The sequence below is a fragment of the Homo sapiens genome, chromosome 2 (genome assembly GCF_000001405.40).
Source record: "Homo sapiens chromosome 2, GRCh38.p14 Primary Assembly".
NCBI classification, from domain to species: Eukaryota; Metazoa; Chordata; class Mammalia; order Primates; family Hominidae; genus Homo; species Homo sapiens.
In genome coordinates this window covers 24,969,609-24,997,182 of record NC_000002.12, presented here as the reverse complement: position 1 = coordinate 24,997,182, position 27,574 = coordinate 24,969,609, and the positions used below count along the sequence as shown (strand labels likewise).

The 27,574-nt window shown below is 43.9% G+C and overlaps 1 protein-coding gene and 1 long non-coding RNA gene across 7 annotated transcripts in view, besides 9 other annotated features; one reads left to right on the top strand and one right to left on the bottom strand.

Moving 5' to 3' along the window:
- DNAJC27-AS1 (DNAJC27 antisense RNA 1) overlaps positions 1–25,071 on the bottom strand; it is a 67,583-nt gene extending 42,512 nt beyond the window's left edge. Inside the window, exon 1 of the long non-coding RNA NR_034113.1 lies at positions 24,951–25,071. This is a non-coding gene — a long non-coding RNA (DNAJC27 antisense RNA 1). The remainder of the gene's footprint in view (positions 1–24,950) is intronic.
- Positions 24,179–24,696: an enhancer, noted in NCBI's record as "H3K27ac hESC enhancer chr2:25195356-25195873 (GRCh37/hg19 assembly coordinates)". NCBI's record gives its function as "activates a minimal SCP1, AML or CMV promoter by ChIP-STARR-seq in naive H9 embryonic stem cells {active_cell/tissue: H9 hESC(naive)}" and the evidence as "EXISTENCE:reporter gene assay evidence [ECO:0000049][PMID:30033119]".
- Positions 24,697–25,215: an enhancer, noted in NCBI's record as "H3K27ac hESC enhancer chr2:25194837-25195355 (GRCh37/hg19 assembly coordinates)". NCBI's record gives its function as "activates a minimal SCP1, AML or CMV promoter by ChIP-STARR-seq in naive and primed H9 embryonic stem cells {active_cell/tissue: H9 hESC(naive and primed)}" and the evidence as "EXISTENCE:reporter gene assay evidence [ECO:0000049][PMID:30033119]".
- Positions 24,908–24,987: an enhancer, noted in NCBI's record as "active region_15441". NCBI's record gives its function as "activates an Ori minimal core promoter by ATAC-STARR-seq in GM12878 lymphoblastoid cells {active_cell/tissue: GM12878}" and the evidence as "EXISTENCE:reporter gene assay evidence [ECO:0000049][PMID:35858748]".
- The window catches only part of DNAJC27 (DnaJ heat shock protein family (Hsp40) member C27), a 28,459-nt gene continuing 25,973 nt past the window's right edge, over positions 25,089–27,574 (top strand). For 3 of the 6 annotated variants that reach the window (XR_007076386.1, NM_001198559.1, XM_011532902.2), the window contains exon 1: positions 25,089–25,365. Coding sequence is in view for 3 of the 6 variants with exons in the window: in NM_001198559.1 (NP_001185488.1) it covers positions 25,279–25,365 (87 nt within the window). In the remaining 3 variants the exon portion in view is untranslated. Of the gene's footprint in view, positions 25,366–25,566; positions 25,628–25,756; positions 25,768–27,574 lie in introns of those variants that run through there. The other 3 variants (NM_016544.3, XM_047444647.1, XM_047444648.1) reach the window with 3 other exon arrangements.
- Positions 25,198–25,307: an enhancer, noted in NCBI's record as "active region_15440". NCBI's record gives its function as "activates an Ori minimal core promoter by ATAC-STARR-seq in GM12878 lymphoblastoid cells {active_cell/tissue: GM12878}" and the evidence as "EXISTENCE:reporter gene assay evidence [ECO:0000049][PMID:35858748]".
- Positions 25,198–25,817: a biological region, named in NCBI's record as "H3K27ac hESC enhancer GRCh37_chr2:25194318-25194836".
- Positions 25,216–25,734: an enhancer, noted in NCBI's record as "H3K27ac hESC enhancer chr2:25194318-25194836 (GRCh37/hg19 assembly coordinates)". NCBI's record gives its function as "activates a minimal SCP1, AML or CMV promoter by ChIP-STARR-seq in primed H9 embryonic stem cells {active_cell/tissue: H9 hESC(primed)}" and the evidence as "EXISTENCE:reporter gene assay evidence [ECO:0000049][PMID:30033119]".
- Positions 25,438–25,517: a silencer, noted in NCBI's record as "silent region_11239". NCBI's record gives its function as "represses an Ori minimal core promoter by ATAC-STARR-seq in GM12878 lymphoblastoid cells {active_cell/tissue: GM12878}" and the evidence as "EXISTENCE:reporter gene assay evidence [ECO:0000049][PMID:35858748]".
- Positions 25,568–25,677: an enhancer, noted in NCBI's record as "active region_15439". NCBI's record gives its function as "activates an Ori minimal core promoter by ATAC-STARR-seq in GM12878 lymphoblastoid cells {active_cell/tissue: GM12878}" and the evidence as "EXISTENCE:reporter gene assay evidence [ECO:0000049][PMID:35858748]".
- Positions 25,688–25,817: an enhancer, noted in NCBI's record as "active region_15438". NCBI's record gives its function as "activates an Ori minimal core promoter by ATAC-STARR-seq in GM12878 lymphoblastoid cells {active_cell/tissue: GM12878}" and the evidence as "EXISTENCE:reporter gene assay evidence [ECO:0000049][PMID:35858748]".

The following is a 27,574-nucleotide window of genomic DNA, read 5'->3' as shown; positions in this document are numbered from 1 at the left end:
GTTACTCTCGCCTCTTTTCCTTTTTCCCTAGTCAAACACTTGTGGCTCTTTACAAAGAGTGACACATACTGATTTAGGCCATCCACTGTTCTTTCATATTTACACTCCACCCCCGTCCCCCTGTTGGGGAAGTGCAATTATCTTTGGAGGCTTCTAGAGCTGCTGCTAGATTCTTAGTGATTCATACCTTGTGCCTGAAATCCTTAAGGTTGAAGAATGGGGAAATTCTCTAGAAATTGCACAGTCACAGGCAAGAAGGGATATGTTCACTAGGCAAAAATCCTCAAGACTGCAGGCTCCCATTAGATGGTCTTCTTTGCCAAAGCAAAAGAAAATATGGGGCCATCTCTCATCTCCCCAAGCTTCAAATGTGGTCAATAAATTGGGGTGTGAAAAATGCCAAAAAATAAGTGGCCAAATATTCACAGTGATACTGCTTATGACATACTCTCTCACGCTGAAAGCAAATCAGGCTGTGAAGTCTCTCATCTGAGCCCAGCTGGCTCACCAGAACTCCGATTGGGGTTGGAGATCAACTGGCCCCCATGCACTGAAACTCACTGGCCAGAGATCTGGATAAGTGGCAGAGGCCCACCTATACCATTTGTTTTGCTACTCCAGACCTTAATTCTGCCACGTGTTCACTTTTTCTAAGGGATATTCTGGTTTCTTTTTCTCTTCTTTAGCCCTGTAAAATTCACCAATTCTGAGAATTCATTGGGACTGTAGAGGTTGTGATAATGTCTTTATTAAATATTTTTAATATAAAAAAACCTTATCTTGATTTAAGTGCCAAGATCCTCTAGACCTTGTTCCATGGACCCCTGTTAATAGCTATTCTTGCACGAACACATCAGTGGACCTGCTTTCCTTTCCTTGCTGAACAATATGATTATGAATCTGACATTTGAATCCCAAAAATTATCCATCCATCCTGCCATACTTAATTACTTATAGTTGTAAAGAAGCTTCAGCCAGGCGCGGTGGCTCACGCCGGTAATCTCAGCACTTTGGGAGGCTGAGAGGGGTGGATCACTTGAGGTCAGGAGTTTGAGACCAGTCTGGCTAACATGGCAAAACCCCATCTCTACTAAAAATACAAAAATTAGCTGGGTGTGGTGGCACACGCCTATAATCCCAGCTATTCGGGAGGCTGAGGCAGGAGAATCGCCTGCAGAGGCAGAGGTTACAATGAGCCAAGATCACGTCACTGCACTCCATCTGGGGCAACACAGCGAGACTCTGTCTCAAAAATAAATAAATAAATAAATAGATAGATAAATAAATAAATAAATAAACAAGAAGCCTCACAGCAAACTAACAGTTTTTCTATTTTGAAGCCCATTAATACCTTTTCAAGGGAGATGCTGGGGATTGTCACTTAGTTTAGTGGCATTTCTCAGCCTTCAAGCCCTTTCATGCCTACACCATTGCATTGGCAGGTGTTGACCATGACTTAAGTCTTTTTCTCAGCTCTTTGACCTTGCCCTTTCTATAAATTCCCTGGGTTTCTGGTTACCATTCACCTGAAGCAGCAGTTCCAAAGCCTGCTTGATTTGGTCTCCATGGTGGAGCTGAGCAGAAGTCACAGACCTCTTCTCTCCTTCCAGCAGGAAGTGGGTTAAAAACTAGCATGTGGGCTGGGCGCGGTGGCTCACACCTGTAATCCCAGCACTTTGGGAGGCCAAGGTGGGCAGATCACTTGAAGTCAGGAGTTCAAGACCAGCCTGGCCAACATGGTGAAACCCCGTCTCTACCAAAAATATTAAAAAATTAGCTGGGTGTAGTGGCGCACACCTGTAATCCGAGCTACTCGGGAGGCTGAGGCAGGAGAATCACTTGAACCCAGGTGGTGGAGGTTGCGGTGAGCTGAGATCGCGCCTCTGCACTCTAGCCTGGCGACGAGTGAAACTCTGTCTCAAAAAAAAAAAAAAAAAAGAACCTGAGTCCCTGACTTCATTGTGCCATTAACAAAAAACAAACAACAACAACAACAAAAAAAACAAACAAACAAAAAAAATAACTAGCTTGTGGTTTGCAACTACAAAGGGTTATTTTTTGGCTTTTTCTTTTTTTTTTTTTTTGAGATAGGGTCTCTCTCTGTCGCCCAGGCTGTAGTGCAGTGGCCCCATCTCGGCTCACTGCAACCTCCACCTCCTGGGTTCAATTCTCCTGCCTCGGCCTCCTGAGTAGCTGGGATTACAGGCATGTGCCACCATGCCCAGCTAATTTTTTTTGTATTTTTAGTAGAGATGGGGTTTCGCCATATTGGCCAGGCTGGTGTCGAACTCCTGACGTTGTGATACATCTGCCTCAGCCTCCGAAAGTGCTGGGATTACAGGCATGGTTTGTAATTTGGTTCTCTTTCTGGAATAACCAGTGCTAAGCAACCCATTCTCTCCCAGTTATAATTCTGATGCAAGTATCTTTTTAAAGGTACTGAATTTTGCAGCTATAGCTTAGCTCTGTGCTTCCTCCACTTCACACTTTAGCTGAAAGTCAGGATAGAAGGTCATCTTAGTTTTAATGAGGACCGTGCTGTCCTGGCTAGGCATTGCTTTTGGTCTTCTAAGATACAGTACAAAAGTCAGAATTCTGTCCTTTGACACCATCTAATTTGCTGGTTTGTTTTCAATATCTTTGTTTCCTTTTATTTCCTCTTGAACATTTATTTGTTGAGTAGTCAATAGTTACACAGGGTACAAAATACAAAAGTTGTAAAAGGATATTCAGTGGAAAGCCAGTCTCCTACTCTTAACTTCCAACCCTCAGTCCCTCTTCTTAGGCACCCACAATTACCAAAGTCTCTCTGCAGGTTCAAAACCATGAGTATTAAACAAACAAACAAACAAGAAAAGCCACACATGGTGATGTTGTTTTGCACCTTGATTTTTTTTTCTCTTATCTATCTCTTGGTGATAATTCCCTGTCAGTCACATGGAGTTGTCTCCCTTTTTTTTTAACTAGCTGCCTGTGGTTGTTCTGTAATGTAGCCAGAACCCCTATTGGTGGACATTCAGGTTGTGTCTGGGTTTTTAGTCTTTTTGTTTTCATGGACAAACTGTTAACCAGATGAAGAGAGGTAAAAATAGCTCTTATGTCCTGAAAACAACTTCAGGTTGCCACCGATTCTGTAAGATCTTATCAGGCTGTAAGACGCTTCCCATATAAGTCAGCCGGTGAGTGTTCAATGGCTCTTGGCAAGCTTTCTGTCAGATCTTGGATCCATGTTCAGGGAAACTGTAGAGCTCCTAATCAGCTGTATCAGGCATACATATGGCTAATTCTGAATGCCCAGCTCTGTGTTCCCTTCTCCCTTTTCTCCTCTCTTTCTATGCTATATATGAAAAAAATAGAAGAATAAATAGCAGAACCAAAAAGTGGTATAAGAGTTTGGAGGAAAGAGACTTATGTAAACTGGAGAACCAAAAATATATAAATATATTGGAGGTAATATTTGAGTAGGGCCAGGCCAGGGGTTGATAGAAAGGAGGAGTTAGTAAATTAAAGGCAAGGAAAACAGAAAGAGCAAAGGCAAAGGGAGGTGGCCACAGCTCAAATTCAGCAGACCGTGAGATCAAGCAGACTGGAACAAACGTTTCATGCTGAGGAGCACAGGCAGATGAGATAGGACAGATAAAGTGGAGTGTGATTCTGGAGGATCTGAATACATGGATGGCAAGCTTATATTTACTCTTAGAGGGTCTAAGATAAGTCTGGATATCCGGTATTCCCAACTTGTTCTTTTTTAGGAGTGCCTTAACTATTATCAATCCTTTGTGCCTCCACATAAAATTTAGAATCATCTTGTCAAATTCTCTTTGGGATTGTACCTGTAATAGCATTGGTTCTATAGATTAATTTAAGGGGAACTGACATCTTTACACTTTTAGCTAACAATGAATATGGTATATCTTCTCATTTACTTACTTTTCTTTTTTTTTAAGACAAGGTCTTGCTCTGTTGCCCAGGCTGGAGTACAGTGGTATGAGCTCAGCTCACTGCAGCCTCAACCTCCCAGGCTCAAATGATCCTTCCACCTCAGCTTCCCAACTAGCTGGGACCACAGGCACATGCCTTCATGCTTGGCTGATTTTGTTTATTTTTTGTAGAAGCAGGGTCTCACTATGTTGCCACAGCTGGTCTTGAACTCCTGGGCTCAAGAAATCCTCCTGCCTCAGCCTCCCAAACTGCTGGGATTACAGGTGTGAGCCACCGCGCCAAGTTTAGGTATTCTTTTTTTTTTTTTTTTTTTTTTTTTTTGAGACAAGAGTCTCACTCTGTCACCCAGGCTGGAGTGCAGTGGCACAATCTCAACTCACTGCAACATCTGTCTCCTGGGTTCAAGCAATTCTCCTGCCTCAGCTTCCTGAGTAGCTAGGATTACAGACCTGCACAACCACACCCAGATAATTTTTGTATTTTTAGTACAGAGAGGGTTTCACCATGTTGGCCAGGCTAGTCTCGAACTCCTGACCTCAAATGATCTGCCCGCCTCAGCCTCCTAAAGTCCTGGGATTACAGGCATGAGCCACTGCGTCAGGCCGGCTTAGGTATTCTTTAACAGCTCTAAATAAAGTTTATTTTCTCTTAGAGGTTTTACTAATCTTTGTATGATATATTTGTTGTAGCTTGTTGCTACTGTAAATGATATTTTCAAATTATATTTTCTGTCTACTGCTATTTTAGAAATCTAATCAATTTGGAAATATTGATTTTATATCTAATAAATTTACTCCTATCACCTGGCAGGATTTGCAGAATAATTGCCCAGAACTAGAATATTGATCCAGATTTTTACATTACCCAGCCCTTTTGTTTCTTCTGAACTGCAGCTGGAGATTGCTGGTTGGTTCGCAGGAATAAGCAGGGTTACTCTAAAATGTACCACTCAAAGATGGGCATGACAGTGTAAAAAAAACAATTAGGGAAGGGTAGGTATACGTAAAATAGGTGAAGGGTGGGATCCATCAGAGGAAAGTGCACCAAATGGGAAGACAGGTTTTTGATCTGGTCTGAGAATTTACCTGGGACTGTCTTCAGCTTGAAGGTTGGGTTTCACCAGGGACCCACCCCTATCTGCTTAGGCATTTGTCTGCCTCCTGTCACTATCACTATGAAGAAATAATTTTGACTGGGTAATTTAGAAAGAAAAGAGGTTTAACTGACTCACAGTTCCCCATGGCTGGGGAGGCCTCAGGAAGCTTACAATCATGGTAGAAGGCACCTCTTCACAGGGTGGCAGAAGAGAGAATGAGTGCCAGCAGGGGAAATGCCAGACACTTATAAAACTATCAGATCTTGTGAGAACTTACTCACTATCATGAGAACAGCATGGGGGAAACCACCCCCATGATTCAATTATATCCCACCAGGTCCCTCTCATGACACGTGGGGATTATGGAGATTAAAATTCAAGATGAGATTTGGGTGGGGACACAGCCAAACCATACCATCCTACTCCTGCCCCCTCCCAAATCTCATGTCCTCACATTTCAAAACATAATCATGCCTTCCCAACAGTCCCCAAAAGTCTTAACTCATTCCAGCATACACCCAAAAGTCCAAGTCCAAAGTCTCATTTGAGACAAGGCAAGTCCCTTTTGCCAATGAGCCTGTAAAATCAAAAACAAGCTAGTTACTTCCTAGATACAATGGGGGTACAGGCACTGGGTAAATACACCCATTCCAAATGGGAGAAATTGGCCAAAACAAAGGGGCTACAGGCCCCATGCAAGTCCACAAACCAATAACAGCAGTCATTAAACCTTAAAGTTCCAAAATGATCTCCTATGACTCCATGTCTCACATCCAAGTCAAGCTGATGCAAGAGGTGGGCTCTCATGGCCTTGGGAAGCTCCACCACTGTGGCTTTGCAGGGTGCAGCGCCCCTTCCAGCTGCTTTCACAGGCTAGCACTGAGTGTCTGCAGCTTTTCCAGGTGCATGGTGCAAGCCGTCGGTGGATCTACCATTCTGGGGTCTGGAGGACAGTGGCCCTCTTCTCACAGCTCCACTAGGCAATGCCCCGGTGGGGACTCGGTGTGGGGTCTTCAACCCCAGATTTCCCTTCTGCACTGCCCTAGCAGAGGTTCTCCATGAGGGCTCCATCCTTGCAGCAAACTCCTACCTGGATATCCAGGCATTTCCATACATCCTCTGAAATCTAGGTGTAGATTCCCAAACCTCAATTCTTGACTTCTGTGCACCCGCAGGCCTAACACCATGTGGAAGCCACCAAGGCTTGGGGATTGCACCCTCTAAACCAATGGCCTGAGCTGTACATTGGCCCCTTTTGTCCATGGCTAGGACACAGGGCACCAAGTCTGGAGACTGCACAAAGCAGCAAAGCCCCAGACCTGGCCCACAAAACCATTTTTTCCCTCCTAAGCCTTCAGATCTGTGATGGGAGGAGCGGCCATTAGGACCTCTGACATGTCCTGGAGACATTTTCTCCACCATCTTGGTGATTAACATTTGGCTTCTCATTACTGCAACTGGTCATGTGGGCATAGCTGGTATTGATGACTACCTTCTTCTACTACCCCTTCTCTATTACCTTTGCCTTCAGCAAGCACCTCAGGGGGTCATGGTTTTTACCTGGTGTAGTGACTCAAACTTTCATTCCTGAAGGGTCTGGGCCATTCGTAGTCCTGCCTGGATTGGGTTGTTGTAGTTTCTGATTGACCCTAATCATAGGGCATGGTAATACTAAGAGACGCCCTAAGGAATGTCCTGTATTCCATGCATACTCTTCCTTACCTCCATTGTGGAGTAGCAGACTGATTTCATCTTGATAGTTTGGGTAAATCATCTTAGCCAGCACTGTAACTCCTTTCTTAGCCTGTTGACTTAGAAGTAGGAGGAGCCCAAAGTGGCCAAGTGGCAGTCTTAACTTCCACTTTAATGGAACCATTGTGTGTCTCCTGGTGGCAGCATTCCTCCCTCTGGAACTAAGACCTCTAGGCCAGCAGAACGTAATGTAACTGCAACAGGAAGCAAAAATTTTGCTAGTGGGTCACTAGGGGTGATGGTGAGTGGTACCACTTCCACTTCCACCCCTTGATTCCTGGACCCATGAATCCTGGCTATGGGAGAAATAGTACCACATTTTGGAAGCTAATTCAGGGCATATACAACCTTCCGGAGAACTTTGACCCAGCCCTGCAAAGTACTGTCACCTAGTTGCCATTGTAATTGTGACTTCAAAAGGCTACTCCACTGTTCTATTAATCCAGTTGCTTCAGGATGATGGTGAACATGGTAAGACCACCAAATTCCATTAGCATGAGCCCACTGCTGCACTTCTTTAGTCACAAAGTGCCTTGATCAGAGGCAGTGCTGTGTGGAATACCAAGACAGTGGATAAGGCATTCCATGAGTCCATAGATGTTTCTATGGACTGCAATTCCATATGCAGTCTACTATGCAATTCTTCTAGGCAGAAGCATTGCAGGCAGGATAGGCAAAACCATATTCAGAGTAAGTGGCTATTCCAGTGAGGACAATCATATTTCCATGATGGAAAGGTCCAATATAATAAACCTGCCACCAAGTAGGTGGCTGATCACCCCAAGGAATGATGCTATATCAAGGGCCCAGCATTGGTCTTTGCTGCTGGCAAATTGGGCACTCAGCAGTGACCATAGAAAGGGCAGCCTTGGTGAGTGGAAGTCCATGTTGCTGAACGCATGCAAAACCTCCGTCTCTGCCACCATAGCCACTTTGTTCATGAGCCCATTGGGTGATGACAGGGGAGGGTGGGGAAAGAGACTGAGTGGTATCCACAGAACAAGTCATCCTATCCACTTGATTATTAAAATCCTCCTCACACTCTGATGAGCACTCACATGGGATACAAATATCTTCACAGTTTTTGACCACTCAAGAGAGGTCCACCTACATACCTCTTCCCCAAATTTCTTTGTCACCAATTTTCCAATCATGCTTCTTCCAAGTCCCTGACCATCCAGCCAAACCATTGGCTACAGCTCATGATCATTTCTCCTTCCAAGCAAAGTGCACAACCAGGTGCTCTGCTTGAAGTTCTGCCCACTTGGAAGATTTCCCTTTGCCACTGTCCTTCAGGGATGTCCTAGAAAGAGGCTGTAGTGCTGCAGCTGTCCACTTTCGGGTAGTTCCTGCATATCATGAAGAATCATCTAGAAACCAGGCCCTAGTCTTCTCTTCCTCTGATCATAGGTAACTCTCTATGAGGCCATCAGTGAAGGCTTGGGGAGAGAAGGCAGGGTGGCAGGAGTGGAGACCATGGGCATTTGAACCACTTCCTCATGTAACTTACTTGCACCTTCAGGACCTGCTTGAGCCTGATCCCATATATACCACTTCCATTTGATGATGGAATGCTGCTGTGCATAACCCACTTTATGGCTAGATGGGTCAGAAAGCACCCAGTTTATGATAGGCAGTTCAGGTTGCATGGTGACTTGACGATCCATAGTCAAATGTTCAGTTTCCACCAAAGACCAGTAACAGGCCAAGAGCCGTCTCTCAAAAGGAGAGTATTTATCTGCAGAAGATGGCAGAGCCTTGCTCCAAAATCCTAGAGGCCTCCACTGTAATTCACCGATGCAGGCCTGCCAAAGACTCCAAACAGCATCCTTATCTGCCACTGACACCTCAAGCACCATTGGATCCACTGGGTCATATGGCCCAAGTGGCAGAGCAGCTTGCATAGCAGCCTGGACCTACTGCAGAGCCTTCTCCTTTCTGGACCCCACTCAAAACTGGCAGCCTTTCAGGTCACTCAATAAATGGGCAGGAGTAACACCCCTAAATGAGGAATGTGTTGCCTCCAAAATCCAAATAGGCCCACTAGGCACTGTGCCTCTTTCTTGGTTGTAGGAGGGGCCAAATGCAGCAACTTATCCCTCACCTTAGAAGGAATATCTAATACTCCACAGGCCCCACAGCACTGGACTCCTAGAAATTTTACTGAGGTGGAAGGTCCCTGATTTTTAGTCAGGGATTTTAGATTTTAGATTTATTTCCCATCCCCTGGCACACAAATGTCTCACCAGTAAGTCCAGCGTGCTTGCTACTTCTTGCTCACTGGATCCAATCAGCACAATGTCATCAATGTAATGGACCAGTGTGATATCTTGTGGAAGGGGAAAATGATTAAGATATTGTGAAAACTCACTCACTATCACGAGAACAACATGGGGAAAACCGCCCCCATGATTCAATTACCTCCTACCAAATCCCTCCCACAACACATGAGGATTATGGGGTTTACAATTCAAGATAAGATTTGGATGGGGACACAGCCAAACCATATCAACATCCAAAACTACAGCGTGTTCAAAACAGATCTTGTCACTGTTTAAATAGCTCTCCTTTGGGGTCTCATTTCTGTCAGAGTAACTGTCATCATCTCAGCCACTCGGGCTCCAGAACGTGGGGTCAGCCTTCACTCCACTTTCTCGGTTTGCCCCACACCTAGCAGTCACCAAGAAGCTGTTCCTATTGTAGTTTTTTCATCTCTTCCTTGCTGTCCATTCCCATTGCCATTGTCATGTAGGTATTTATTGCCAGATGCCTAGGAACTACTGGGCTTCTGATGGCTAACCATAACCTACATAACCTTCTTTTCTTTTCTCTCTCTTTTTTTTTTTTTAAGACCAGGTCTCACTCTGGCAGCCAGGGTGGAGTGCAGTAGTGTTGATCTCAGCTCACTGCAGCCTCAACCTCCCTGGCTGAAGCGATCCTCCCACCTCAGCCTCCTCAGTGGCTGAGACTACATGTGTGTTCCACCATCCCTGGCTTTTTCTTTTCTTTTTTTTTTTTTTTTTGAGACAGAGTCTCGCTCTGTTGCTCAGGCTGGAGTGCAGTGGTGCGATCTCAGCTCTCTGCAACATCCACCTCCCAGGTTCAAGCGATTCTCATGCCTCAGCTTCCTGAGTGCCTGGGATTACAGGCATGCACAAGTGGATAGGGTGACTTGTTCTGTGCACCACCATGCCTGGCTACTTTTTTTTTTTTTTTTTTTTTTTTTTTGGTACAGACAGGGTTTTGCCATTTGGGCCAAGCCAGTCTCAAACTCCTGACTTCAAGTGATCCACCCACCTCAGTATTCCAAAGTGCTGGGATTACAGGTGTGAGCCATCATGCCTGGGCTAATTTTTTTATTTTTTGTAGAGATGGGGTCTCCCTGTGTTGCCCAAGCTGGTCTTGAATTCCTGGGCTCAAGTGATCCTCCTGCCTCAGACTCCCAAAGTTCCAGGACTACAGGTGTGTGCCACCACACCTGGCCTTTTTTTAATTTTTATTTTTTTAAGAGACAGGGTCTCTCTATATTGCCCAAGCTGGTCCTGAACTCCTAGTCTCAAGCGATCCTGCCTTGGCCTTCTAAAAATGCTGGGATTACAGATGTGAGCCACCTCACCTAGCCTACTTCTGTCTATTCTTGATACCACTCCCAAATTAGTATTTTTAAATGATGTTTTGTGCATGTTAATCAACTCTCCAAAATGTCTGTCAGTTGCCAAAGAACCGACAGTCACATGTGCTGGCCAGAACGAGTTGCACTCCTTAGCCTGACAATGCACTGCTGTATCAGAAGACCTGGCTTTCAGCCATCTGTTTCTTCAACAAATGCTAGCTAAGTTTCCATTCTGTACCAAGCTTTGTCCTAAGTGTTGGGAATATAAGTGAACCAGAGAGACAGTTATTGCCCTCAGTGAACTTGTTGCCTGGTGGGGAAGACAGCCAATTAGATTAACAATTACAGTTCAGGGTGACAAGTGTTGTCATTGAGTCACTTCATGGGGGTTTGTAGAAGCCCGAGGCAGAGCCAAACTTGGGGTGCGTGAATACAAAACAAGTGTCAGAGAAGGCTTTCCCGGGTAAACAACTTTCAACCTCATTTCCCACTATTTCCCTTTTGCAACTTTCTGTTCCATTATTCATCATTCTTTCCATATCTTATCCTTCCCTCAAGGTCCATGTTAAGTTTCTTCCCGGATCTCATACTCATGGTGATCGTCTTCTTCTCAGCTCTGATGGTATTACTAATTGGTGTAGGGGCTATGCTAACTTGAATTTATGTATGTGTTTATACGCATGTACATACACACCCATTAATTAGAATCATACAAAAATTATAGAATACTTAACCATTTTTAGCCCACAAAATGGCAATTCCATATGGTTCAACCATATGACTTGGAAACTTTCCCTAGAGCTATCCCTATATAAATCCACATACAAACTTACAGTTTAGCTTGAAGACATAAACTTATAAGCAGCCCTACAAATGCTCTGTCATATTTCCTACAGTCAAAAAAGTGTAAATTCTCATTTACATATTTTACATCTGATCACATGTACACATATAAACCCACAAAACGACAAATTCATTCACAAACGTCCTCATATAGCATACATTCAATATGCACACACGAAGCCGACAGATGCAGGAAATGCTAATGCACACACTCTCGCACACAAAGTCATTATAACCAACACATGAGTATACCCAGAAGCCCCACACATATGCTTGCATACACACATTCGTACCCAGATATATCCAGAATAATTCCCAAACTTAACAAAGCCAGGCACGTGGGCACCCTCGGGAGAATTTCACCCACTCACTTCTACCCTGTGTTTTTGCAGACCTAAAAAATCAGATAACAAGGTGATACAACTCTGTTTAAAATAGGGATTCATAAGCTCTGAGCAAGGATCTGGAGAACTCTACTGTGAGTAAAGAGCTTATGCTCTTATGCACAGAGTCTGTAACGTTCACCATGGCTACTCAAAGGCCTTTTTTGGGCTTATGCCCTTAGTAAGGTTAATGAGGCATTAGTGTCCCCTGATCCAGGTAAGGCCTTTTTTTTGTTTTGTTTTGAGTCCCTGCCAGGCCAACTTTCCTGCTGGGTTGGGGAAGATGAAAGCCAGTGACGGAGAAGGTGGGCTGGAAGCAGTTATGGGTGTAAATTATGACAAGCAACAGCCAGAGTTGTCCTAGGTGGACAGTCGTGGTGGCAGGGAACTGGCTATAGCTGACAGATCTGAGAGTACAGGGAGGGAAGACTCGTGGTGAGCAGGGGAGGGGGGTCTGTTCCTCTGTCGCATGCGCAAAGCTTCTTGGCTACAGTTTCCCTCTGGCTTGTTTCCCCACCACGCTGTCTCTGTCTGGTTTCCATGGACACCAAGAGCTATCACAGGCACAGCACGAGAAACCCTGAGCAGAGAGAAACATCAGGCTGGGGCTGCGTTTTTAGCTCTTAGGCCCTGTGAAAATTAGGAAGGAACTGTTTCTGTAAACTTTTTTGAAGTGTGACATACTATAGAGGAGCATTATACAGATCATTAGTGTGCAGCCCTCTGAATTCTCATGAAGTGAATACACCTATGTAACCCCCACTCAGATCAAGATCTAGAACATGACCTGCACCCAGACACCCTCCTTATAGCCCTCTTCCATCACTATCCCTGAATATAACCAGAATCCTGACTCCTCGTTCATTGATTAGTTTGATCTGGTTTGAACTTTATATGATTGGAATCATACAGTAATATTCTTTTGTGCCTAGCTTCTTTAACTCATTATTACATCTGTGAGATTCATAGCAGTACCATAGTATTGTATAGCAATGATTTAGTATTCCATTGGAAGAATATACCACTATTTATCCACTCCTCCACTGCCAGACAAATGAGTTGTTACCAGTTGTTTACTATTACTAATAGTAGTGCTACAAATATGCTGGTGCAAAGTGTATATATCTGATAAAGAATATAGATAAATAATATATGTAGAATATATAAAGATTTTTACAAATCAATAAGAAAAAAATAAGCAACTCAATAAAACATTAATTGAACAAGTACTTTTTTTTTTTTTTTTGAGACAGGGTCTCTCTCTGTCACCCAGGCTAGGGTGCAGTGGTGGAATCATAGCTCATTGCAGCCTCAACCTCCTGGGCTCAGGTGATCCTCCCACCTCAGCCTCCCAAGTAGCTGGGCTCACAGGCCTGCGCCACCATGTCCAGCTAATTTTTGTACAGACAGGGTCTCCCTAACGTTGCCCAGGCTGGTCTTGAACTCCTGGGCTCAAGTAAGCCTGCCCGCCTTGGCCTCCCAAAGTGGTGGGATTACAGGTTTGAGCCATTGTGCCGTGCAACAGGTAATCAACATAAGAAGAAACGACCTTTAAAAATACGAAAAGGCACTCAATCTCATTAGTCACCAGGAAAATGCAAATTAAAACTACACTTAGATACTACTACAAATGTCTAAGGAAGGCTAAAATTAAAAGACTAGCAAAATTGAGGGGCCAATGAGAATTTTGAACAGCTGGAACTCTCATTCACTGTTGGTAGGAGTGTAAATTGACAGCCACTTTGGAACACTGTTTGGCAGTACCAACCAAAGCTGAACAGACGTACCCTATGACAAAGCAATTCAACTCCTAGGTATATACCTCTTAGAAATGTGAGTACTGTATAAGTAATGTTGATGGACTTCAACTGCAAAATGTTAAAATTGAGTCAAGCTGCTAGTATGCATAATCAATCAGCAGCAGAATGATCATTTAAAATATTCTTTCAGGGCCAGGAATGGTGGCTCATGCCTGTAATCCCACCACTTTGGGAGGCCAAGGCGGGTGGATCACCTGAGGTCAGGAGTTCAACATGTGCCTGGCCAACATAGTGAAACCCCGTCTCTATTAAAAATTCAAAAATTATATGGGGGTGGTGGCACATGCCTGTAGTCCCAGTTACTCAGGAGGCTAAGGCAGGAGAATCACTTGAACCCGGGAGGCAGAGATTGCAGCGAGCTGAGATCACGCCGCTACACTCCAGCCTGGGTGACAGAGTGAGACTCTGTCTCAAAAAAAAAAAAAAAAAAAAAAAACAAAAAACCTTTTTCAGTTGTCCATTATAAGCAATATTGTTGGCTAGATCACTTTGGGAGGCTGAGGCAGGAGGACAACTCAAGGCCAAGAGTTCAAGACCAGCCTGGTCAACATAGCAAGTCGTCTCTGCAAAAAAGAAAACAAAATTAGCCTGGCGTGGTGGCATATGCCTGTAGCCCTAACTACTTGGGAGACTCAGATGGGAGGATTCCTTGAGGCTAGGAGGTTGAGGCTGTAGTGAGGTATGATCATACCACCACACTCTACCCTGGGTGACTGAGCAAGACCCTGTGTCTAAAAAGGTAAAACAAAAACCAACATTGTTCGCAATTTTGAATTGTTATCCAAAACTTTTTTATTTTTTTGAGACAAGGTCTCGTTCTTTCACCCAGGCTGGAGTGCAATGGCTCGATCCCAGCCCATTGCAACCTCTGCCTCCCAGGTTCAAGTAATCCTCCCTCCTCTGACCCCAGACCAGCTGGGACTACAAGTGCCTGCCACCACACTCAGATAATTTTTGTATTTTTTGGTGATTGTCTCATTATGTTGCCCAGGCTGGTCTTGAACTCCTGACCTCAAGCAATACACCAACCTCAGCCTCCCAAAGTGCTAGGATTACAGGTGTGAGCCATCGCACCCAGCCAATCCACAACTTTTTAATATATCTCTCCTGTATATTTACCCAAATTATTAAAGAGAGCTGGGTTAAAAAGTAGAGCCCTGTGCCATAGCTCTAAAGATTTCCCTCCTTTCTTTTCTTTCCTTTCCCTTCTCCCTCTCCTTCCCTCCCCTCCCCTTCCCTCTGCTACCCTTCCTTACCTTTCCCTTCCTTTCCCTACATTTTTATTAGGCAATTGGGTGCCATTAACTGCAATTAGATACGTAGGTGGAAACACTGGTTTGTGCCAAAATCTCCTCTCTATGAGGAGCCAGAGCAGTATGGCTGGAGAGTCTCAAGATCTAGAGAAGGGTGTTTTAGGCAGAGGTCTATATACAAAGGCCATGAGCTGCAAGTGAACTTGGCATTCAAAGAACAGAAGGAAGATAGCATTTGAGCACTACTAGTAATCTGCTAGGTACCCCAGGATATCTCCCAAGAAATTGGCAGCTTGCTCTGAGCTCAAATTTCTTGGCGGGGTTAATGACAATTTTCTACCTGTCCATATTACTGAATATCACTTGTTATGTGTTCCTTATTGCTACATTCCACTGCTTGTTGGCATCTTTGCTTCATTGTCTTGGCACTTTCAAGATGGCTCAATCCCATAGCTGGCAAGTTGGTGCTGATTGTCATATGGGAGCTCAGCTGTGGTTGTGGGTGTGAGTGGGGAGCTCGTTTCTCTCTCCATGGTCCTCTCCATGAAGAGCTGGAATCTTCACAGTTTGGTGGCTAGATTCCAAAAGTGAGCATTCCAAGAGAACCAGAAGGAAATTGCATTGCCTTTTATGACTTAGTTTTGGAGGTGGCATAACGTCACTAACACCATAGTTACAATTCCACCCAGATTCAAAGGAGAGGAACATAGACCTATGGAGAGGAGTCTCAATCCTACTGTAAGAATTTCATATGGGAACCTTGAAGACATTATGCTAAGTGAAGTAAGCCAGCCATTCTACTCGTATGAGGTGCCTGAAGTACTCAAATTAATAGAGACAAAAGTAGAATGATGGGTCCCATGGGCTGGGGGGAGGAGAGAATGGAGAGTTAGTGCTCAGTGGTATGGAATGTCAGTTTGGGAAGATGAAAAAGTTCTGGGAAAGATGGCAGTGATGGTTGCACAATGTGAATGTGCTTAATGCCACTGAGCTGTACATTTTTAAATGGTTAAAATGATACATTTTATGTTATGTGTATTTTGCCACTATATAAAAAAAGGTCATATGGAATGGGAAATGTTGTCACAGCCATTTTTGGAAAATACGAACTCCCACACACTTTTTGGGATAGTCTGTAGTAGGATGAATACATGGATATGAACATGGAAGCACAATATCCATGCTCACAGACTCCAAACTAAGACCCTCTACCCCTAATAAGGAAGGTCGGAAGGCTCAGCAGAGTCAGGGTTCTAAGGTTCTTACATTGCTTAGGAGAGACTCATCCCCATGCCAGGTGCTTCTCCAAGATTTCCACTCCCCTCTACCATTTGCCTGGTTTCTGTTACTCTTCAGAATCTCCCAGTAGTTTTTTCCTTCCTTTCCTCTCTTCCCTCCCTCCCTCCCTCTCCCCCCTCCCCCTCCTTCTTCTCTCTCTCTTTTTTTCTTTCTTGAGGAAGAGTCTCACTGTGTTACCCAGATTGGAGTGTGATGGCATGATCTCGGCTCATTGCAATCTCTGGCTCTTGGATTCAACCAATCCTCCCACCTCAGCCTCCCAAGTCGCTAGGAGTACAGGTGTGTACCATCAAACCCAGCTGATTTTTGTATTTTTAGTACAGATGGGGTTTTGTCATGTTGTGCAGGCTGGTCTCGAACTCCTGGCCTCAAGTGATCTGCCTGCCTTGGCCTCCCAAAGTGCTGGAATTACAGGCATGAGCTACCACGCCCAGCCCTGTTATTGTTTTTTAATCAGTGGGAGAATTATCTGAAAGGGTTTACACTACCATACTGGAAGCAGAACTCCTTAAAAAATTGAATTTGTAGTTAAAAACTTTCCCACAAAAACTTGGTCACTGAGAGGAATTACTACCAACTTTTCAGTATGTATATTAGTTTTCTATTGCTGCATAACAAATTACTGCAAATTCAACAGTTTCAAACAACAGACATTAAACATCTTGCAGTCCTGTAGGTCAGATGATAAGGCATACAGAGGCTGGGTTCTCTAGCCCAGAAATCTCACAAGGGGCCAGGATGGTGGCTCAGGCCTGTAATCCCAGCATTTTGGGAGGCTGTGGTGGGAGGCTCATTCGAGGCGAGGAATTTAAGACTAGCCTGGGCAACATAGTGAGAGCTTGCCTCTACAAAAAATAACTAGCCAGGCATGGTGCTACAGACCTGTAGTCGCAGCTACTCGGAAGACTGAGATAGGAGGATCACTTGAGCCCAGGAGGTCAAGGCTGCAGTGAGTTATGATTGTGCCACTGCATTCCAGCCTGGGCAACAGAGAGAGCCTATCTCAAAAAAAAAAAAAAAGTAGGCTGGGTGCAGTGGTTCACGCCTGTAATCCCAGCACTTTGGGAGGCTGAGGTGGGCAGATCGCTTGAGATCAGGAGTTCGAGACCATCCTGGCCAACGTGGTGAAACCCCATCTCTACTAAAAATACAAAATTAGCCGGGTGTGGTGACAGGCGCCTGTAATCCCAGCTACTCGGGAGACTGAGGCAGGAGAATCACTTGAACCTGGGAGCCAGAGGCTGCAATGAGCTGACATCGTGCCACTGCACTCCAGCCTGGGCAACAGAGCGAGACCCTGTCTCAGAAAAAAAAAGTCTCACAAGGCTGCAATGAAGGTAGCAGACAGCTGGGTTCTCATCAGAGCTCAGGAGCTCCTTCCAGGCTCATTCAGGTTTTTGGCAGAATTCAGTTACTTCTGGTTGTAGGACTGAGCTGCTCATTTTCTTGCTGTTGGCTGGGGGTTACTCTTAGCTCCAAGAGGCCACTCTTAGGTCCTTGCTAAGTATCCCCTTCCATCCTGGAGAACCTTCCTCCTATTGAATGCTTCTCACATTTTTAATATCTTTTGCCAGGAAAAGCCCTATCCTACTTAAGGACTCATCTGATTGGGTCAGGCCCATGGAGGATAATATCTTCAGCGTAAAAACAACTGATCTGGGAACTTAATTACCAAAATCCCTTTGTAGCAGCACCCAAATTCATGTTTGATTAACTAACTGGGAAAAGGTATGTGTGTACCAGGGGCCAGGAATCTTAGAGGCCATCTTAGAATTCGGCTTACCACAGTATGCCAGTTAGATTTCATTTATGTCTGTATTTTAAGAGCTTCACCTTCTAAAGTACATAATAAGATATGGATAGTTATAGTATAACTATATTTATAGTTTGCCCCAAAATAATCTGGGGTATAGATGAAACAAGATTGATCCACGTTGATATTGCTGAAGGTGGAAAATGAGTGTTCATTACTTTATTCTCCCTACTTTTGCTAATGTATGAATTTTGGGCCAGGCACCATTGCTCATGCCTGTAATCCCAGCACTCTGGGAGGCCAAGGCAGGAGGGTCACTTGAGCTCAGGAGTTTGAGACCAGCCTGGGAAAGATGGCGAAGCCCCGTCTCTGAAAAAAAAATAAAAAATAAATTTTGTCAGATAAATTATTCCAGAGCATAGAAACATTTTTTAAAACTGTCAACTATGTGTGTGTTGGTGGGATTTTGAGGGACAAGGTCTTGGTCTGTCACCCAGGCTGGAGTGCAGCAGTGAGATCATAGTTCACTGTAACCTTGAACTCCTGGGCTCAAGTGATTCTCCTGCCTGAGTCTTTATTTTTATAGAGACAAGGTCTCACTATGTTGCCAGGGCTGGTCTTGATCTCCCGGCCTCAACAGATCCTCCCACTTCCACTTATGAAAGTGCTGGGATTACAGACATGAGCCACAGCACCTAGCCTATGATGCAAGTATAACATTAGTATCTAAACAAGGCAAAGGTAGCATAAAATTACTTTAGTATTACTTAATAATATTACTTACTTCCAACATTACTTAAGAATATTAATGCAAAAATTCTCAAAACGTTACCTTACAGAATTTGGCAATATATAATAAAAGTAAATTTACATTTACCTTTGACCCAGTAATTCCATTTTTTAAAGAATTTTACCTTGAAGACATACCCATAATAGTACAAAAATACATAAATGCCCCTAAATATATTAACTGAAAAAAAATGTATATACACACAATGGGATACTGTGCTGTGTAGCTATAAAAAAGGAGTATGATCTTTTTTTACATAATAGTGAAATAGCATGTGGTCCTTTCCAGAATATATTAAGTGTAAAAGCAAATTTCAAAATTGTGCACACACATACAATGTTACTTTTTTGTGTCATAAAGAGAAATGAGAAAATATACATGTAACTGTCTATTTTCTATAAAAAGAAACACAGGAAGGAGTAAATCACAGTCTATGTGATTGGTTGCCCACAGCAGGTAGGTGGGAAGTGGTGAAAAGGATTGGAATGAAGGGTGAAAGTGACACTCATGTGGGTATACTGATTGTATTGCTTTAACTTTGAATCTGTTAATGTTTTACATACCCAAAAACGTTAATAAAGTCACTAATCATGAGGGGCAAAAAACTGAAGCTACAATACTAAAGAAACAAATGAGCTTAATTGTATTTCGAATGCAAACCATAACCACACTGAAGAAGGAAAAAAAAGGATTAACCCAACTAACGTTTGAACACAATACTTATACTATATGACAAACTGTATTTGTCAGTTTTGGACAAAAAGTCATAAACAAATACTGAACTCTAGTTCAAAGGGCTTTTGTTTTTTAAAATGGTATGGGTTAGCAACTCTGAAACTACTTCCTATGTAGTGTAGGATTGAGCAAATGAGTAAATATACTGAGGATAAAAGGAGCCAAGTTTCTCACTGTTGAAGCAGGAAGTCATAATTATGGAAAGGGGGAAGACTAGAACAAATCCTGTTATGCTAAAATGCATTGGTATTATCCATATAAACTATACTTTAATAAATGGATTCAGATGCATGTATATATGTACATATATCTCTTTTTTTGGCTCAATCAACTGAAAGGTCCAAAAGCAAAGACACTCTAGTACTACTGAGAACACCTAGCACCCAGATCTTGGTTTCTAAATACCATCCTCCATTAAAAGGATCCTTGGAAGCAGGGCTTGTTGCTGTGCTAAGAAAGTAAGAAAGTGACTGGGCATGGTGGCTCAAGCCTGTAATCCTAGCACTTTGGGAGGCTGAGGCGGGTGGATTGCCTGAGCTCAGGAGTTCGAGACCAGCCTGGGAAACCCCATCTCTACTAAAATACAAAAAATTAGCCAAGCCTGGCGGCATGCGCCTGTAATCCCAGCTACTCAGGAGGCTGAAGCAGGAGAATTGCTAGAACCTGGGATGCGGAGGTTGCAGTGAGCCGAGATTGAGCCACTGCACTCCAGCCTGGGCAGCAGAGCGAGACACTGTCTCTAAAAAAAATTTAAAAAAAAAAAAGTAAGAAAGTGCTAAACAAACACAGAAACAACAACAACAACAAAGGTGAAGACATCAAAAGGACATACGAGCCAACCTGAGTATCAAAATAAATAATAATATTCATGGAGTAAAATAAGCATATACAAGGCCATACTGATACAAATGAATGAATGAGAAAGGAAAGCTTTTCCTTATGGTAGAATACCAAGTAATAAATATAAATGGAATGATGGAGTTGGAAAATCAGCATTTTGCGTCCATCATAGTAATAATCTCTTCAGCCATAAGTAATCACTGGATTCTAAAAATTTGTGGGTGAAAGTTCAGTGAAGAAAGGATAGCCATATAATCTCCAAGTATCCCTTTAAAAACTACTTATTACAAAGGGAAAAGTCACTTTACTGTAGATCAGCTTCATGAACCCCACCTTAACCAATGAACTAAAGTAAGCATCATTAATAAATGGAAAAAATTGGCATCCCAACTGATATGCTGCCCAAAAAGGACATAGTATCTTTGTTTGTTTAGATGGAGTCTTGCTCTGTCACCCAGGCTAGAGTGCAGTGGCATGATCTCGGCTCACCGTAACCTCTGCCTCCCAGGTTCAAGCAATTCTTGTGCCTCAGCCTCCCGAGTAGCTGGGACTACAGACACGTGCAACCATGCTCAGCTAATTTTTTTGTACTTTTGGTAGAGACACGGCTTCACCATGTCGGCCAGGCTGCTCTCGAACTCCTGACCTCAGGTAATCTGCTCACCTTGGCCTCCCAAAGTGCTGGGATTACAGGTATGAGCCACCGCACCTGGCCCATAACATCTTTTCTGTGGTATTCCAGCCAAATATAACATAACTGACTCTAATTTCAAGAATACACAAACAAACACAAATTGAGGAATATTCTAAAAATAACCGTCATTTTGAAAGAAAAAGAAAAGCTGAGGAACCATTCCAGCTTAAAGACTAAAGATATGTAACTAAATGATCCTAGATTAGATCCTAGACCAGTTGACCAAGTCAAACACAGCTATAAAGAATATTATTGGGACAAATGGTGAAATTTGAGTGTTAACTGTGAATTAGATAAAAGTTTCCCAAATTTTCTTTGTTCACAGTGCTTTCAGCATCTCAGGGTTTTGTTTTGTTTTGTTTTGTTTTGAGAGGGAGTCTCGCTCTGTCACCCAGGCTGGAGTGCAGTGGTGCTATCTCGGCTCACTGCAACCTCCGCCTTCCAGGTTCAAGGTATCCTCCTGCCTCAGCCTCCCGAGTAGCTGGGATTACAGGCGCCTACCACCACATCCAGCTAATTTTTTGTATTTTTTAGTAGTGACGAGGTTTCACTGTGTTAGCCAGAATGGTCTCGATCTCCTGACCTCGTGATCCGCCCGCCTCGGCCTCCCAGAGTGCTGGGATTACAGGCGTGAGCCACTGCGCCCGGCCCAGTGTACTCACTTTTCATCACAACCAACTGGAAAGCCTAGATGCCCCAAGACATGACATAGCCAAGGAATTTGGCGCCATCTATTGTTGAAACTGTAAACAACTTCAAGCTAGTAGTTTTGTACAGTCATTTAGATTTCATTTTGTTTGCCTTGAAAATTTAGAATGCAAGCTATTCCACAGATATCCCCCCGTGGATTTACTGTGGGGATGTGAGGTACCTCAGTGTACAGTTTGATTCAAACCACAGGATTTTATAATAGTGCTGTATAAATGCTGCATTTTCTGATTTTGATAAATCACTGTTGCCATGTAGAAGAAAGTCCTTCTGAGGAAACACACATTATTTATGGATAAAGAAACAAGCTGGCTGGGCACATTGGCTCATGCCTATAATCTCAGCACTTTGGGAGGCTGAGGCAGGAGGACTGCTTGAGCCCAGGAGTTCAAAACCAGCCTGGGCAACACAGTGAGACTCCTTCTCTAAAAAAAAAGAAATACATATATAGGTAAGTATGACATATATTCATATATGTATATATACACACTATATATATATGTGTATATATTATATATGTCTTTATATATATTTTTGAGCAATTCTCCTGCCTCAGCCTCCCAAGTCACTGGGATTACAGGTGCCTGCCACCACATCTGGCTAATTTTTGTATTTTTAGTACAGATGGGGTTTCACCATGTTGGCAAGGCTGGTCTCGAACTCCTAACCTCAAGTGATCTACCCGTCTTGGCATCCCAAAGTGCTGGGATTATAGGTGTGAGCCACCCAGCTGGGCCTGTGTTTATATCTATCTATGTATATCTATCTATTAAAATGTCTGCAAATAAACCTCAAACTACTCAGAAACATTTGAGTATACATGTACATATAGATAGCACAAGTGATAGAAAAAATGGGACAAAATGTTAACAACTGATGAATTTGGATAAAGGGTAGACAAGATTTTTTGGTCTCATTCTTGAAATTTTCTGTGTAAAATTATTTCAAAACAGTTTTGAAAGATGAAATGCAATACTACATTTTAAGGTATATATTCATATATAGTAAAACAATTTTAAATGCCTGGAAATTAAAGCAGCATTCAGATTGTTGCAACTGTTTGTAGAGAGGGAAGAGGGATGTATTGGGAAAGGCTACGCACAGTATCAGTGATGTTTTCTTGTTTCATTTATTTATTTAGAGACAGGGTCCAACTTTGTTGCCCAGGCTGGAGTGCAGTGGCACGACCACAGCTCACTGTGGCCTCAACCTCCCAGGCTCAGGTGATTCTCCAACCTCAGCCTCCCGCGTGGCTGGGACTACAGGCTTGGGCTACCACAACGGCTTTTTTTTTCGTAGAGACAGGGTTCTGCCATGTTGCCCAGGCTGATCTCAAACTCCTGGGCTCAAATGATCCACTGGCCTTGGCCTCCCAAGGTGCTGGGATTATGGGGTGGGCTACCATGCCCAGTGGTGATATTTTATTTCTTAAATTGGGTGGGGGATACATGGCTATTCATTCCATTATACTTTATACCTTTAAGTATGTCCTAAATATTTCATAATTTACTTTCTAAAAATACACATTAAAAAGATGTAGGATTTTTCTTAACACATAAAAAAGTATGAGCAAATGAGAGCATGTGGCTGCTGTTTGCTGGGAGACTACTACGTACTTCCTGTGCATTATCTCCTACAATCCTTATCACCACCTCATGCCTACAACATATGCCAAGATTAAGTGTATCGGGCTGGCTCCAGAATCCATGCTCACACTATACCTCCCAGGTCCATACTATGGAAAAAGCAGCTAACTCGTGCTGATTTTTATTTTTTTATATTCAAAGAGTGGGGGAAAAAAAACAACTTTCTTGCTCTTTCGATTCCAAACTAATTTAATACACACAGTAGAAAATGTAGCTATATACAATAAAGTGTCAAAAGCATCAATATGGGCCGGACGCTGTGGCTCATGCCTGTAATCCCAACACTTTGGGAGGCAAAGGCAGGAGGGTCACCTGAGGTCAGGAGTTCGAGACCAGCCTGGCCAATATGGTGAAACCCCGTCTCTACTAAAAATACAAAAATTATCTGCGTATACCGGTGGGTGCCTGTAATCCCAGCTACTCGGGTGGCTGAGGCAGGTGAATTGCTTGAACCCGGGACACAGGGGTTGCAGTGAGCAGAGATTGTGCCACTGCACTCTAGCCTGGGCAACAAGAGGGAAACTCTGTCTCAAAAACAAAAACAAAAACAAAAAAAACCCCATCAATATGAAAAAAATAGTAATCAATTTAAATCTGTGGCATGTTTTACTGCTTAGTCTCAACAGCACCATACTTAATCAATCATAACAGCTGAAGATTTGACATTTTATAATTATTCTTCCACAATACCAGTTACCCTATTACAGGGCCAAAGGTGAACTGTCGAAGAAATTACATGTTTAGTAATTTGATTTATTAAATCATACTGAGAAGTTAGCATGTGGATTCTTTTAAGCTTTAAAACTATCCAAATTCTAACCAGGACTTATATTTCATATTTGTAAATAATTTTAGAAGCTTCAGTGAATTAAGTTATATTATTTGATTATCAAAACAATCCAGAATAAACTTGTCTTAAAAAAAACTTAATGTTTAAAAAACACATTTTAAAATTAAAATGTGGAAAATCTGACTTTACTGTGAAATGTTGAGCCTTTGCTCATTGCCTTCCTGTAATGCACTTCCCTTAAGATGTTTAAAGTTAGGTGAGAAAAGAAGCAATGCTACTTTTGTCTTTGTAATATACAGGGAAATTGGCAGCCATTTTTTTTCAGGGCACTATAAATAATCATTGTCAAGTTCTATTTATCTTCTGTAACTGAAGATATTCACTGAAAAAAAATTACCGTTCCTGTCAGACTGACTTTTATTCAAGCACTGTCACATTGTCAGCTAAAGGGAAGGGGAGAGCAGACGTCGAGGTCACGTTCGAAGCGAACAGCGGGGAGCTGAGGAAACTGACGTCCACAGCTCCAGCCTGGCTTAGCGTTAACACCTGCAGTAGACCAAGCCTTTCTCCCACAGAGGAGTCAACAAATCCATCAGAGATCTGTAATAGGAGGGCCAAGACTAAACACTCTTGCCTTGACTCCAAATAGACAACTCCATTTAAAATAAAAAACAATAGGAACCAGATTCAGAATCGCTTCACGCCTTGCCCAAGGCCCTCTTCCAGAACCAGGGTTCCGACCTCCCCACTTTCCTGGCTTTGGGGTCTGCCTCTCGGGGATCTCGAGCAAGGGGAACAAAATATTGGAGGGGGAAGAGGAGCAGCAGCCCGGCCCATGGAACCGAAAAAGAATCCAGAAAAAAAAAAAAACACTCCCAAACGGACGAGACACTACCAGACCCGCCCTGAAGAGCCAATACATTTCCACCACTCGGCTGCGAAAGCAACAAACGCCTCCCGTCCGGGCGTCCCTGAAAACAAGGACGCGCTCACCTCGAAGGGTAAACCCAGCCGCCCCCCAACGCCGCCTTCCCGTCAGGGGACGAGGCCTTAGAAACTCGGTAACTGCAGTCGCGTCTCCAGGGCCTGCAGATGACGTCAGCAGCCCCGCGCTAGCATCGCGAGACTCCCGTCTCCCTCCCCCGGCTCCCCACGCTCCCAACCGCCCGCGCCTGCTGCCAGGCAGCGGCGGGGATGGCGAGCAGCGGAGGCGAGGCGGTGACGAGAGCAGCGGCTCCGCCATTGGACGAGGAGGCCTGAGGGACGGGCCAGCGGTGCACAAGAAGAGACCGAGGCGGGTGGCCCCGAGAGAGCCAGGGCCATGGAGGCCAACATGCCGAAGCGGAAGGAGCCCGGCAGGTCTCTCCGCATCAAAGTCATCTCCATGGGCAACGCCGAAGTGGGGAAAGTGAGTACAGCGAGCCGGGAGGGGCGGGCCCCAGCGTGGCGGGGCGACGTGTCCATTGGCTGGAAGGGCGGCCACTCAACAGCCTGGGGCCCGGCCTCCTCTCCGCCCCCGAGCAGGCCCGGGTCTCAGCCGAGGGGTGCGGCTCCGCGAACGAAACTCCCCGACCTTTTTGACCTTTCCGTTGCCCCCTCGTCCTCCGACGTCACTCTTCCGGAGATGGTGTCTGGGGTGGCCTCTAAGCCTTGAATGTACCCCCAAAAGAGTAAGAAGGCCTGGGTCCCCATGAGGGGCCGTCGGCCTAGATACCTTGCCCGCGTTCTAGGGGGCCGTCCGGGACCGGGAGATGGAGGATGAAAGTTTAGTTCCCCCAGCCGGGCCTGGGAGCCGGCGGAACGTTATGGGGTGCGTGTGAGAATTTGGGGTTCGCGAAATGGTGCCCGGCAGCCCAGATTCTGCATTCCCGTCACGAGAGAGCGTAACTGACGTTGACGTGTTTCACAGGGGAGGTGCAAGGGATGGCCGGGGTCCGCGCTGTTTTGTTTTGCGTTGTGTTTTATTTTTGGTGGTGTCCCCATATCTGTTAGTTCCACCGCCCTTCTCTCTGCCCCATCTGTGGTTCATCAGCTATAAACTCTCCTTTAGTACGTGGGGAGGGAAGGCCAGAGGTAACCTGAGGCCTTTTCCCTTATGAATTCCAAGACGGCCTCCTCTTCACTCAAATTCTTTCCTTTTGGGCAAGTGGAATCTGTTGGTTAAGAACTTCCCAAGGTCATCAAATCAGTGACCGAGGAAAGATTAGAACCTAAGTCTTCACATTCCCACTGCGGTGCTCTTTCCGTCGTTGTATGCGTTCAAAATCAACTCCGAAAGAGCTGTTAAGGCAGTGCCTAGTCCAGTGCCTGGCACCCAGGAGATGCTCAGTAAATGTTTACTTAGTGTTTTTTATTTCTGTGTAGCATGATCCCGTACTACTTTTGTGTGTATGTGCTAGCATAGTATTCACTGAAAGTCAACATTTTTTTGAACGTCAGCTGTGTACGAGGTGTTTTTTTTTTTCTAGGGACTGGGCACGCTAGCTCAGGCCTGTAATACATCAGCACTTTGGGAGGACGAGGCGGGCGGATCACTTGAGGTCAGGAGTTCAAGACCAGCATAGTGAAATCCTGTCTCTACTAAAAATGCAAAATTAGCCAGGCATGGTGGTGCACGCCTTTAATCCCAGCTACTTGGGAGGCCGAGGCGGGAGAATCGCTTAAGCCGGGGAGGCAGAGGCTGCAGTGAGCCGAGATCACGCCATTGCACTCCAGCCTGGGCGGCAGAGTGAGACGCCGTCTCAAAAAAAAAAAAAAAAAAAAAAGTAATTTTACTGTGCCTAATGATACAACATTAGAAGCAGCTCAGAATGCCCAGTGTCACCACATCTACTTAACATTTTTCTAGTTTTATTAGCCAGTGCAATTAGACAAGAGTAAGAGAATATAAAAATATTAGAAAAGAGAAGGTAAAATTAACATTATTTGCTAATAATACGATTGTTTACCTGGAAACCCAAAGAGAAATAACTGAAAAACTATTAGAAACATTATAAAAATTCAATAAAGCAAAATTATTACCCACAAATTAATAACTTTATTGTGTCCAAATTATATTCAGTTGGAATGTGTAATTGAAAAACAATTTTAATTTACAGTTACAACAAAAATAAAGTTCCTAGGTTTAAACTTAACATGAAATAGGCAGCACCTATATGAAGACAAGTTTCAAACTCTACAAAGGGAGATAAATTACTTAGGCAAATGGAAAGATATACTTTTTCCTTACGTGGGATTACACAATATTGTACAGATGTGAATTACTCAACCTACAAATGAAATTCAATTCCAGTGAAAACATCAATAAGGGTTTTTTTTTCCCAGAACATAATACAAGACTACTAAAGTCTTCATGAAAAATTAATGTGAAAACAACAAAGAAAATTGTGGGGAAAAAAAAGAAATGAAAGAAGACCAACTGTATCAGCCATTTAAAAATATTTTTCAGGCCGGGCGCAGTGGCTCACGCCTGTAATTCTAGCACTTTGGGAGGCAGAGGCAGGTGGATTGCCTGAGCTCAGGAGTTCGAGACCAGCCTGGGCAACATGGTGAAACCCCATCTCTACTAAAATACAAAAAATTAGCCAGGCATGGTGGCGCACGCTTGTAGTCCCAGC